Raw genomic sequence first — 13,545 nt, 5'->3', positions numbered from 1 at the left:
ACTCTGGGGCAGGGGCACCAACATGGCTTAGGCCATGGGAAGTCCAGAAAGGGGCCAAGGTGAAGAATACTCTTGGAAGGTGTCTAGACCAGGGTTTCTCAACTTCTGCACTGTTGACATCTTGGCTCAGATGTAATCCTTTGCCAGGGTTGGGGCCGGGTGCTGTACTGTGCATTGCAGGATATTTAGCAGGCCTCTGTCCACTAGGTGTCGGTAGAAGCCTCTTCCCTAGCAGTGATCACCAAAAAGGTCTACAGACACTGCCAAATGTACCCTGGGAGGTAAAATTTCTTCCGGTTGAGAGAACCACTGATGTAGACAGACTTGGTTACAAATCCCATTTTTGCTATTCACTAGCTGCGTCAACTAGTCCCATTCCCTCTCTAGGCTTCTATTTCCTCATTATCCATAAAGGGACCAATGTCTGGTAAGGATTAAATGACATGGTACCTCATTTCCTCTTCTTCCCTTTTCTCCCTTCCCTCGGGCTCCCTAGCCCACTTCTCATCCCTCTGTGACCAGCCCTTACACCCCCTCCCCCTCATGGACTCCTACCATCCTTCAGCAATGTCCCTTAGGGTGTCAGTGTGGCCCTGGGGACAGAGCATTAGCCCTCCCTGGGCCTGGATGCCTCTCCCTGCAGGCTGTGGGAGGGAGGTGCGGAAGTGTGAGATGAGATGATGGCTGTGGTGAACATGGTCAGGTGTGCATATATGTAAGGAGGCTGGGTGGGTACAGGCCCTCCTGCAAGCATGTTCACAGCAGGACTGTGCAGAGGACACTGAGTTCTCCTCCCAGAAGCAGCTGGAGACTCGTGGCTACCCTAAAGGTCTTCCCTCTGCGGCTCCTCTGATAGGGAGAGCCTGGCAAGTTCTCTTGTATGTACACCTGTGGATGTGTCAGCCTGCAGGTGAGCATGGTCAGTATGCAGAGGTGGGTCCAGGGTGTGTAGGGCCTGAAGCCTGGAAGTTTTGGGGGTCACTCTTTTAAAAAAAGAAAGCAAAAAAGAATACAAAGTTGGATACAAAAGTGAATATTTATTTAGACTTAGAAAAGGACTCAAGACCAAATATAAATTTTAAGAAGCTGACATATACTACAAATATTTAAAAATACAGAAAAAAGCTTCATATTTTTATTAACTGCACGGCACACCTATATAATGATTTAAAATAAGTTACATTTATTTGGAAGCATTCAGTATGCCAACAAAAACAGATGCAACTTTTTTTGCAATTACAGAATAATATTTAGTTAATACATTTATTTTACATAAGCTACATCGAAGATGACTGGAAATTAAAAAATCATCACCTTCCCTCCAATATAACTATTTTTTTCTGTGTACTAACAAGACCCTGCTTTACATTTCTATGCCAATTTATAGGTCCCGGGTAGTACCAGGCACAGTTAGTAGCTACTGAAAACACCTCCTGGACAGGACTACTTAAAGATACATTATGAAATGCAAGGGACCCAGAAAACTCACAACAGTATTGAAGAAGGAGAGTAAAGCTGGAGGACTCACGCTTCCCAATTTCAAAACTAACTACCACACTACAATAATCAAGACTGTGTGGTATTGGCATAAGGATAGATAGATAGATCAATGGAATAGAATTGAGAGTACAGAAATAAACTCATATATTTATGGTCAATTAATTTTTGACAAGAGTGCCAAGACAATTCAATGGAGAAAGAATCGTCATTTCAATAAATGATGCTGAAACAACTATATATTCATACGCAAAAGAATGAATTTGGATCCCATACTTACACCATATTAAAAATTTTAAATGGACCAAATTCCTAAATGTTAGGGCCAAAGTCATATAACTCTTAGAAGAACTTGAAGTAAGTAATCGTTTCTTAGATGTGATGTCAAAACCATAAGCAAAAAAAAAAAAAAAAAAAAGGAACAGGTAGATAACTTGGATCTTGGATCTCATCAAAATAAAATAGACATTTGTGCTTCAAAGGAAGTGAAAAGAATTCGCAGAATGGGAGATATAATTGCAAATCCTATATCTGATAAGAGTCTGATATCTAGATTAGATAAAGAACTCTCATAACTCAATGTATTAGTCCATTCTCACACTGCTATGAAGAAATACCCAAGACTGGGTAATTTATAAAGGAAAGAGGTTTAATTGACTCACTGTTCCACATTGCTGAGGAGGCCTCAGGAAACTTACAATCATGGCAGAAGGCAAAGGAGAAGCAGGCACCTTCTTCACAGGGTGGCAGGATGTAGTGAATGGAAGCAGGGGAAACATCAGACACTTATAAAACCATCAGATCTCATTGAGAACTCACTATCATGAGAAGAGCATGGGGGAAACCACTCCCAGTGATCCAACTGCCTCCACCTGGTCCTGCCCTTGACACATGGGGATTATGGGGATTACAATTCTAGGTGAGATCTGGGTGGGGACACAGAGCCAAACCATACCACTCAACAACAAAAAGACAACCTAATTTTAAAATGGGCAAAGAATTTGAATGGACATTTCTCCAAAGAAAACATACAAATACTCAATACGCACATGAAAACATGCTCAACATGTGATTAGAGAAATGCAACTCAAAACCCACTTCACACCCACTAGGCTACTTCTAACAAAAAAGACAAACAACAGAATGTTGTCAAGGATGTGGAGACATTGGAACCCCTATATGTTGCTGATGGGAATATAAAATGGTGCAGCTGCTTTGGGGAAAAGTTTGACAGTTCCTCAAAACTTTAAACATAGAGCTGTGATATAGCTAGCAATTCTGCTTTTAGATACATACCCAAGAAAATTGAAAGCACACATTTACACAGACACTTGTACTTGAATGTTCACAGCAGCATTATTCCTAATAGCTAAGAAGTAGAAATAACCCACGTGACCAACAGATGAATGAATTAAAAAAGTGTGATATATCCGTATAATACACTATTATTCAGCATAAAAAGGAATGAAGTATGCTACACGCTGTAAGATAGATGAACTGGCTGGGTGCGGTGGCTCACACCTGTAATCCCAGCACTTTCGGAGGCCGAGGTGGGGGGATCACCTGAGGTCAGGAGTTCAAGACCAGCCTGGCCAACATAGTGAAACCCCATCTCTACTAAAAATACAAAAATTAGGCGAGCGTGGTGGTGGGTGCCTGTAATCCCAGTTACTTGGGAGGCTGAGGCAGAAGAATTGCTTGAACCCAGGAGGTAAAGGTTGCAGTGAGCTGAGATCACGCCACTGTACTCCAGCCTGGGTGACAGAGGGAGACTGTCTCAAAAAAAAAAAAAAAAAAGATAGATGAAGCTTGAAAACATGATGTTGGTGTTAATTGTTGAGGTCTAGTTACAGTGGCATATTATGAATTTTATACATGATTCCTTTCATATGAAATTTCCCAAATACGCAAATCCATAGAGTCAGAAAGTAGGTTAGTGGTTGCCAGGGGCAAGCAGGAGGAAGGGGATAGTGAAGAGTGACAGCTAATGCCTATGGGTTTCTTTTGGGGGTGATGAACATGTTTTGAGATTAGACAGTCGTGATGGTTGCATAGCCTTGTGCATATAGTACAAACCACTGAACTATGCATTTTAAAAAGGTGAATTTTATGGTTGTGAGTTATATCTTAATTTAAAAATTGGGAAAAGTAAAAGAAAGAAGGACCAGTTAACCAGGAGTCTATAATTGAGTTGCCTGTGCTGAGAATAAGCTTCTCAGTTTGTTGTGGTCCCGGTTTCCTTATCTGTAAGAGATCTGCTTCATAATCTCTTCTTTCTTTGAAATGCTTTAAGCAAATTATGAAATAATTTCAAAACTGAGACATACTTTTTAAATTTACTAATTTATTCCACAGAGTAAATGCCAAAGTCCAGGTGGGTTAAGTCCCATTCCCAAGATCTTAGAGCTGGTCAATGACACAGCCAGGCCTAGATCCCAGGGAATTATGTAGCCATTGGCATACCATAGGACTCACTTCCCCCTGCTACTGGGAAAGTTCTACATGAATTAAAACCCACTGTCACGTGTTCTCTGAAAAAAATAAGTTACCAACTACACAAAAATGACCCTGTGCAATATAAAAACAAATATTGCACAGCCTCTCATCGAATGTTTTTAAATAGGAGTGACTTGTGTGCAGTGCGAGTGTTTCAAATGCCTTATGAGAGAAAAAAAAAAACGAAGGTAGGACCAACTTGTTTTTTCATCATTATCACATCATCATCTTTGCCTTTATCTTCCTCCTCGTCTCCTCATTCTATCTACCTTCCACCTCTTGCTCCTTTTTCTTGTCTTTTTCAGTCTTGCCTACCTCTTTCCACCCGCATCCGGCTGCACATTCTTTGATTGCTTCTTCATGTGACAATGGTTTTATAATATCATTTTCTATACAGAGAATAGAGAGATTATTCAGTCTTTCCTTCAACATGGTTGATCAAAACTTGTTTTGTACCATTGATAATTTAAGGAAATTTCAGGCTCACAAGTCTATTGGAAATGTCATGTACATTTTTAGAATTGATGTCAAATTTGAGGAAACCTCAATCAAGTTTCTTTCATCTGTGGGCTGTAAAAACTCAAGGCATTTTGAGTTTTCTTGTGTGGTGACTAATTTTAAATATTTTTTAATTGACAAGTTTCTTTAATAATTGTGTTGATGATGTTGAGGTCTTGTTATAGTGGCATATTATGAATTTTATGCTATCTTTGTGGATGCCAGTAGTTTGTAACAGATCAGCAAAAAATTTAAATCTTTTCCCAATGTGTTCATGTAATTTGCCATTATTCACTGGTGGGATTATTAAACCATGCAAGAGTCTTTTCCATAAATCTATTAGAAAATTTTCTTCTTCTTTTAATAAACCACTTTTTGGCATGATCTAGATAAATTTTGTGGTTCTAATTATCTTCTCAATGTCAGAATCATTTAAATTTATATCATTGTTCATCATTATTGCTTATGTTTTATATTTCATTTATTTAAAATATATTCCACTAAACCCAAATGAAATTTATACCTTTAGATAGGACTGATCCAAACATCCCCATGAGTGCTACCCAATACAAGGGTCAGAACAGAAAGAGACAATGGTCATAACCAATTGTTAAAAGTGATTTACTTTGGCAAATTAAAAAAGTAGCTAGACCATATAGACATATTTCTAGGGTTTCCCCCAGGACCTTAGAAGGGGCTCATACGAGAGAGGGGAACTGAAGCTTAAACTTTATTGTCTTCACAGTCTATCAGCCTCTGATGGTGTGCTCTGGGTACACATGTGCTTTTGTATGAGCACATATGTGTAAAGACATATACATATGTCTCTGTGGAGAGCATGGCCCTGGTGCTTCCTCAGATCCAATGCAGGTAAAATGGCCCCATGAGCAAAGGATGTTCCATCTACACTGCAAGTGAAGTCAGGCTCAGCCAGTTGTCCCCCCTTGAGGGGACTGAGGTAAGGGACAGGCTAGGAGGGGACCTCAAACCCTATCCTCGATGGTGTGATCCAGTCTCCAGCTGTTCCCTTCCCTCTTGACTTTTCTCACTTCCTCTCTTCTGACATCCTCTGCAGAAGACACAGAGCAAGGCAGCCAAGAGTGCAGTCTCTGGAGCCCTCTGCCTGGGTTCAGATCCTGGCTCATGACCTATGCTGATCTAACTAGACTTCTTCCCTGGGAATTTTCTCCCCACTGCCCCGACAAAGATGGAGTCTTGCTCTACTGCCCAGAGCTGGAGTGCAATGGCATGATCTCAGCTCACTGCAGCCTCTGCCTCCTGGGTTCAAGCAATTCTCCTGCCTCAGCCTCCTGAGTAGCTGGGATTATAGGCGTGCACCACCACACCCAGCTAGTTTTTGTATTTTTAGCAGAGACGGGGTTTTATCATGTTGGCCAGGCTGGTCTCGAACTCCTGACCTTGTGATCTGCCTGCCTCAGCCTCCCAAAGTGCTGGGATTACAGGCATGAGCCACCATGCCAAGGCTGGGAATTTTCTAACTGGGTTTAATGGTAAGATCCATGGTAACCCATGAGTTTCTGGAGAAAACCAATATGGACTAGGAGAGAGTGAAGCCAAGCAGAGACATGAAGTGGACAGCCTAGAAGTGTGAGAGGAGCTCTAGCTCCCAAGGTGCATAGATGCCGTGGTGCTTATAGCTCTACTTCCAGATATGAGCTGCCCCGTGAACTTCCAACACACCCTCTTGTGGGGTTTAGGCTAGTTTGAATAAGGTTTCTGTCACGAAGTATTCTACACTAGATGTGTCACCATACCTGCTTCTCCTCCTGAGGTCCCTATCTGTGTAATGGCACCACCACTTACTCAGAAGCAAATCACGGCCTCAAGTCAGAAGCAAACCAGAGCCTGGAGTCATCCAAGGCTCCTCCCTTCTCTACACTTTCTAGGGCCTACACGCACAAGGCACTGTGAAGTTATGCAGGTTGTCACTACAGAAGTGCACCCAGCTGAGGAGGTGAGTGGGGGCTGAAGTCCAGCCTGCTCTCTGCCTGCCTAGTCATGATCCCTGGTGCAGGGCAATGCCCCAGGAGAGAAGGGGTACTTTTTTCTAATTACACACAGACCCCCTCTAGGATACTGGGACCCTCTTCATGTATAGAATTGCTTCCCTTGGTGCAGAACTTCTGCCTCCTCTGTCGACCTGCTTGCCTTCTCACTCCGCATTACCACCTCTGCTTACACCTGTTGCCTTTCCTTACGGTGTTTCTCATCGTTTATAACATTGTATTTATTCACTTGGTTCTTCATCTCACGGTTACTTCCCCAGTGGATTTTAAGCTGTAGGAAGGTGGAGACTGTGCCTTCAATGTTCTCTGCTGTACCCTCAACACTGACACATTATTTGGCCCAAGCCAATTCAGGATATGTCATACCTCCTCTAAGCAACCCCAGTGGCTTCCTGAAAGATCTCCCTGTCTCAAGTCTTGTTCTCTCCTACCTATTCTGCTAGCCCAAACTGGCCTTTCTAAAATACAGAATTATTTGTATCCTTCCCCTGTTTAAATTCCTGTGTGGCTCCCTACTGCCCTCGAGATAAAGTCCAGATGAGGTCCATTGTGGTCCTGCCTCTGCCATTCCATCTTCCTCTGGCCCCTCCCCATGGGCACCTGCAGTTCCACAAAGGCAGTTTTCTTTCTCTCACCCCTGGATCTTTGCACCTGCTGTTTCCTCAGCTTGTAGCCCCTTTCTTTGGCCCCTCTTTCCTGACCAACTCCTTCAAGATTCTCATTAAAGTTTACCTGTTTGTCTATATCTCCCCCAGAATAGTTAGGGAACCTTCCCCTTTGCTTCTATGGCGTTCCCCTGCTACATGCACCTCCAGTACAGTACTTAATTCAACAGGATGTAACCAGCTGCTAAAAGGTTCCATCCTAGTCAAATGTTTGTGTGCTTCCCAAGGGCGGGAACTGCATCCAACAGTCTCTGTTTTCACCCAGCATAAGACCTGGCATCTGTGGAATCAATGAATTCATGAATGGACCCCAGGGGGTCTCAAGGGTATAAAGAATCCCAAGGGACATGTGGGGAAGTGGCCAGAAGACAAGTGGAGGATCATTCGTAACACAACAGCTCTGGGCAGCTTCCTAGGCACCCTGTGTTGGGGAGAGCAGAGAATGGATCCTCAGACAGGTAATGAGGATATTCGGATATTCCTTCTGGCATCACATCTTGCCTGCATTCCTGAGGGCCCCCTACTTGGCAAACAAAACCCTTGAAAGTGGGCCTGTAGGGTTTTCAGGAACAACATATATGGGGTGGGATGTAGGAGGTCCTGAGGTCCTCATGGCACGCGTGTGTTGGGGGTGGGGAGGTGGTAAGTGAGTGGGGAAGAACCCTTGCCAGACCATCCCTCAGGGGCCTTGGACCCAGGGGAGGGCACAGGTACCTGTGTGTGTGTGTGTGCGTGTGTGTGTGTGTGCATTGTGAGTACATTGTCTACTCTTGTTTCTTAAGACAGAGCTCAAATGACAACTCTTCCGGGAAGCCCTCCCCAACACTCAGGCTAAATAAATGCCCCCTCCTCTGCTCTCAGAGAGTTTATAGCCTGATGAAGAGTACCTATGCCATCTGTGATGATGCTGGCCCACATGCCGCTCTGCTCACAGGATCCGGGCTCCTGTTGTCTTATGGAATCTGATAGTGTCGGGATGCTCTAGGTGCTGGGTAGAGGTGTCTGTGCCTGTCTGGCCTTCTATGCTATCTCTTTGCAGTTACACCTATTACTAATGGGCTGTAAGTGCCAGAGAGCTTACAGCACATGTCTACACTCATTTAGATCTTCCTCGGAATGCTGTGGGCACCCTATCACATCCTCTATACCCAACGAGGCCCCCAAGTGATGCCTGGGCCACAACCTTCCCGTGGTTCTTCTGGTTATCACACCTGGGTTCACTCACTTTATATGGAGGGGATGATTCTCAGCCTTGAATGAACTTCAGAATCACTTGGGGAGCTTTTGAAAAAAAATACCAATACCTGGCCCTGGGTATATGGGGCAGAAACATTAAATCAGAATATCTAGGGGGCGAGCTCAGACATGGGTTTAAAAAATACTCATATCAACCTGTGTACCCTTCCATAAGAGCCACGGACGTGTGTAGTAATGTAGTCAAGGTCAGAGGAACTTCCTCACGTACTGGAGAAATTTGCACCCCTCCTTCCTTCCCCAGGCAGCAGGCTTCCTCCTTGCAATCCGCCTGCCGCCTACAGGCGTCGCTGAGGGACAGCTGGCCCAGTTTGCGGATTTTCCTCCGGATCCCACACCCATGTCCAGGGAAAGCCGGAGCCACGGCGGTATAAATTAGCGCCTTTATTTTGATCACCTGAGCGAGCGCCCGCGGCTCGCCCGCCTGCGGTATAAACGTACAAATTCCCTGTAGCACCACACACCATGCCTCAGAGATAAATACAGCCCCAGGGGCTCCTGCTCTGGCAAAGCAACTCTTATTTACAGGAATAGATTACAAAAGTATTACAAAAAGTGGTCCTGAACCGGGAAACGGGTTGGGGGTGGGTTACGGTTACACCTGCTACATTTGGGACCGGAGTGCACTGGGTCTCACGCCCCCCCAAATAACCGGTGCATCCCGGGGCAGGGCTTAGGTCTGCGAGGGTCTCACCCCCATGGGGGAGGGCGCGAGAAAGCTGAACCTAGCCCCTCAAGGTTCAGCTCTGGCCCACCGAGGAACACGGAGCGGCCATCGCAATGGGTCTCCGAGAAGGGTGCTGCGTGGAAAAAACCGCGCTGTGTCCTTGCCCTGTGGGGCGGGGGCGGAAACTTCAGTTCTCCCGCCTCTCCTACCTCAAGAGAGGTCGCTTTTAAAGCGCTGTTGGGAGGGGGGCATTTAAGTTCAATCTTTTGGGCGCGAGGGACCCTAGGGGCACCATCCCTCGGGCGGGTGGGCGGCCACCATCCCCTCAGAGCACCTGGTATATCGGGTTGGGGTTCGCACCCGCAGGGCACTGCGGGGCGGCGTCCGGTGACTGGGTGGGGTCGCCGCTGCTCTCTCCCTCGCTGGGGGCGGCAGCCTCTTGCCTGCGCGGAGGCGACTCAGAAGGCACGTCCGCCAGCAGGAGGGCGGGCGCCGCAGGGCTCTCGGTGGAGATGCGCTCCACGATGCTGGACAGGCAGTCTAGGCTCGACACCGCCGCACTCTTCCCGGGCCTGGGTTCTGCGCGGGGAGGGCTCGGTTAGTAAGCAGGGGTGGGGCCGCGACAAGCCTCCCACCCCCGGGCCCAGTACTTTGAGACAGATTGGAAACTGAGGACTTTAGTTAGAGTCCGGGACAATCCAAAAGACAGGGAGCTACTTGCTTAGTATTTCATCTCCTGCACCACTTCCCAGGACATAGGCGTGTGTGAGTGGGGGTGGGAGCGTCCTAGATAGAGGCCAGGACAGCTCCATGAAGGAGGAGGAGCGAGCAGGGAGAGGCCCGGAATACCCACCGCTGGGCGCCTCGTTGTAGTAGGCGCCTTCGTAGCAGTTCCGCCGCCGGGCGCCGCTCGGGGGGCCGCTGTAGTCCATCTGCAAACAGCAAGGGCGACTGAGTCAGGCCCGCGGGACGGCTCGAGGCCCGAACACCAATTCCTGTAGCCGCCCCCTCCCTAACTCTAGCCTAAGGCTCTAGTTCCGGGCCCAGACCTGTCCTGGTTGGGGGGGTAATTACGGGTGGGTAGGAGATGAGGTCTGCAACATGCAGGGCCAAACCAAGGGCGGACAGTCACCAAGGGGCGCAAATTTACATTTTGGAAGTAGGGATAAGTAGAGAAAAAGATCTTCACGTTCGCGCTGCAGTGTTCTAATAGCGCCCCCAATGGGGCAGCTCGAACGCTTGCCCGCACACTTCCAAAACAGGCTACCCCAGTGACAGCTGCCCAGGACAAGGGGGTCCTCTCTCTCGGGAAGGATCCTGGCCCAAACCTCCCGCAAGGCCAGCTCCCCGCCCTCGGAAACGCGTCCCTGATATCCCGAGCGCCGCCCTAACTTCCTCACTTCCTGGGGTCCCGGCCTTACCATGCCGTCGGAGCAGTTGGAGCGCGGGCTGGACGCGTCGGAGTCGCCGCTGTAGTGCTCGCCGCCGCGGCCCGGGGGCAGCGGGCCCGGCGCATAGAAGGCGGCTGCGGCGCCAGGGGGCGCGGCGTCCTGGTCGCGCAGCAGAGCCTGCAGGCCCTCGATATAGCGGATGGCGTTGCGCAGGATCTCCACCTTGGGCAACCGCTGGTTTGGATTGCTCGACGTGCAGCGCTTGAGTGTCTCAAAGGCCTCATTTACTTTGCTCAGGCGGCGCCGCTCGCGCATGGTGGCGGCCTTGCGGCGGTCGGCGTTGGTGGTCTTGCGCTTGCACGCCTTGCAGGCCCACAGTAGGCAGCGGCCCGCCTGGTGGTGCCCGCTGGGCGCGCGCACATGCTCGTCCTCACGTGCGCCCGGGGCCGGGTGCACCGCCGCGGGGAAGTGCGAGTGCTCTTCGGGTTTCAGGAGCGCGCCCACGTGCATCAGGCGCGGGTCCAGGTCTTCGAAGAAGCGCAGGTCCGGGGAGTCGAAACACGGGTCGTCATAGAAGTCGTCCGTTGTGGCAAAGGAGCAGAGAGAGCCGTCGGGGGCCGTCAGGTCTACGTCGCGGAGCGGTGGCGACAGTAGCTCCATATCCTGGCGGTGGCGCGGCACGGTCCTGGCTTCGCCCAACCCAAGCGGCAGAGAGTGGCCGGAACTTTCTGCCGCTCGGGAGCCCCGGCTGTAGATAGCAAAGTGCTGGCAGTCTGAATGCCCACCCACTGTCCCCCACCCCTCCCTCTCCTGTCCGGCCTGATTTGTGGTTAAGGAAAGCGGCGGCAGCGCCCCAGGGCTTCCTCACCCCTAGCTTCTCGCCAGGCGCCCTGGGCTATTTATCCGTAGTAGCCTAAACGCCCCGGAGCCCAGGCGGGCAGCTGGGGGAGGGGGAGTCCGAGGCCAATAGGAACACTGCGGGGCGGGGCTTGGGGGGGTCCCCGGGGTGGCCGCAGGGGCCCGCAGACTGGCCAGCCAGCCCGCCCCTCCACACTGGCGTGCGCGCTAGGTCCCCTACCGGGCAGGGAGGGAGGGAGCGACCGGCAGCCCTAGGCGGCTGCACTTGGCTCTCCGGCACGCCCTTTCCAAACCTCTCCAACACCCGACTGCTGTATCCGCGGGAAACGCTGGCTGCGCGCGCTCACCTCTGAGCTGACTTTCAATACTCCTCTGTCCCCTGATTTGTGGGGGACCCATGGGTAGAGCGGCTGTAGAAATCAGGTCGTGAGAGATTTGGAGAGAGGCAAGGCATTGGGGGCACAGAGCTGAGGAGTGAGACCGTGAAAGAGGGACCGAAAGAGGCTGAGAGACACGCAGAAAGCAGAAAGCTTAGAGCGTCAGGGGCAGAGAAACGCACGAGTGCAACAACAGGCGGAGAGACCCCGAGAGTTGAAGTGGGCGAGCCCGAGACAAACGGGTCGTAGAGGCTCTGATATTCCGCCAGTCCCCGACCTGGGAGTTGCTCAGCAGGTCGTGGGCCCAGTCCTTCTTCCCTAGACGCTTAGAAACCCAGCTATGGTTGTACAGGAATCGGAGATTGCTGCTAAAGCTTCGCGCCAATCTCTCCAAACTCGGATCCTGCCCAGGTTAGGAATCCCCTCCATCTAAATCTGCACGTTTCCACAGCAGGGGTGTCCAGTGCCATGCCTGGGGTCTAGGCTGAGCTGCCTCTTCAGCTGGGAAGAAAACCCTTCTGCTCGGGGCTTGGCTCCGCCTCACTCGCGGTGCTGAGTCAAGGAAAGTGCATTTCGCCAAGGTGTCAAACTTCAGGACCTGGCCTGAGAACCTGACCTCATCTCACCTGAAGTCTCCGAGAGTGCGGTTTGCAGACCAGTTGAGTGCAGACTCCAGAGTTTCCCAACTGTGTGATTTTGTGGAAGTCATGTCTCCTTCCTGAGCCTCAGTTTCCAGTTATAGATTTGGGGATGACAGTAATTTCTTGGAGTAATTGTGGTGGGGATGACAGTCTGAAGAGACCAAGGATATGGAAGCCCTCAGGCGGTGATGTAGGGTTATTCGAGCAAGGGGCTTTCAGAGTTGGATGCTGTGTCCCGCAGGCTTACAACTCATCTGTGGTACCATGCCCTGACGGAGTGCCACGAGTCTCCAGGCCTTAGCTGTGTCTCTTTCCTGCAGCCTCACTGGAAAGGCTGGAAACAGGAGGAGGCAACCACCCCATGGGATGTGGGATATCTGGCTCCCATACAAGCCTCAGCATACCGGCCACCCCCATGGGGGTCTCTCAGCCTCTTCCTGAATCTGCAGTTCACACAGTCCTCTCAGCACTCTGGCTAGGAATCTCCGTTGGCCATACATCCCTGCCTGGATCTCCCCTCCTGGAAACCAGAAATTTAAGCAGGAGTGATCTTTGTGCCTTTCCCACTAACTTCTGGAAGGCATTCTAGCTGGCCGTTCTGGGCCCTAAGAAGTCCTCCCTTCCCACAAAACTCAGAGGGCTCTGTTGGGGTCCTAACTTCTTCACTTCTCTGCTGCTGGTAGTGGTGCTGAAGGTCTCCCTTCATGAAGTACTCACCTCGCTTTACTCCATAGGGCCCACCTGTATTTGTTCATTCAGTAAAGTCTACATCATGGAGCAGCAGTGACAGTAACTCTAAATCCTGGCAGAGGCAGCAAAGTCCTGGCCTCACCCCACCCAAGCTGCAGGGGGTCACCCGGAAATCCACATATTGTTAGGTATCCATTATGTGGCAGGTACCAGTCCAAGTGTGGGGCTAGAGCAATGAACAAAACCAAGACTCTGCTTACATGGCACTTACATTGTCAATGTAAGCAGGGTGATAGACAATGAACAAATAAGCAAGGAAGTATGTGATGCCAGGAGGTTAGAAGCCTTATGAAGAAAAAGCAAGGCAGGGAGACACAGTGATGAAGATTATGGAGTGATTAGAGAAGGCCTCTCTGCTACATTTAAGCAGAGACCTGAATGAAGAGAATTGGAAGCAGATACCTGGAGATATGTAGGGCCAGAT

General features: G+C 49.5%; 1 protein-coding gene across 1 annotated transcript, besides 2 other annotated features; it reads right to left on the bottom strand.

Moving 5' to 3' along the window:
- Positions 1-8,801: 8,801 nt before the first annotated feature.
- On the bottom strand, positions 8,802-11,367 carry MYOD1 (myogenic differentiation 1). Its single transcript, NM_002478.5, has 3 exons — positions 10,526-11,367; positions 9,958-10,036; positions 8,802-9,683 (listed from the first exon to the last, which is right to left on the bottom strand). Exons 1-3 carry the CDS (start codon positions 11,153-11,155, stop codon positions 9,430-9,432), a joined length of 963 nt encoding a protein of 320 aa, NP_002469.2. The 5' UTR covers positions 11,156-11,367; the 3' UTR covers positions 8,802-9,429.
- Positions 9,395-9,906: an enhancer, noted in NCBI's record as "H3K27ac-H3K4me1 hESC enhancer chr11:17742579-17743090 (GRCh37/hg19 assembly coordinates)". NCBI's record gives its function as "activates a minimal SCP1, AML or CMV promoter by ChIP-STARR-seq in naive H9 embryonic stem cells {active_cell/tissue: H9 hESC(naive)}" and the evidence as "EXISTENCE:reporter gene assay evidence [ECO:0000049][PMID:30033119]".
- Positions 9,907-10,418: an enhancer, noted in NCBI's record as "H3K27ac-H3K4me1 hESC enhancer chr11:17742067-17742578 (GRCh37/hg19 assembly coordinates)". NCBI's record gives its function as "activates a minimal SCP1, AML or CMV promoter by ChIP-STARR-seq in naive H9 embryonic stem cells {active_cell/tissue: H9 hESC(naive)}" and the evidence as "EXISTENCE:reporter gene assay evidence [ECO:0000049][PMID:30033119]".
- Positions 11,368-13,545: the final 2,178 nt, after the last annotated feature.

The sequence above is a fragment of the Homo sapiens genome, chromosome 11, assembly GCF_000001405.40.
Source record: "Homo sapiens chromosome 11, GRCh38.p14 Primary Assembly".
NCBI classification, from domain to species: Eukaryota; Metazoa; Chordata; class Mammalia; order Primates; family Hominidae; genus Homo; species Homo sapiens.
Note: the sequence above shows the minus strand (reverse complement) of the source record. Positions and strands in the feature narration are given on the sequence as shown.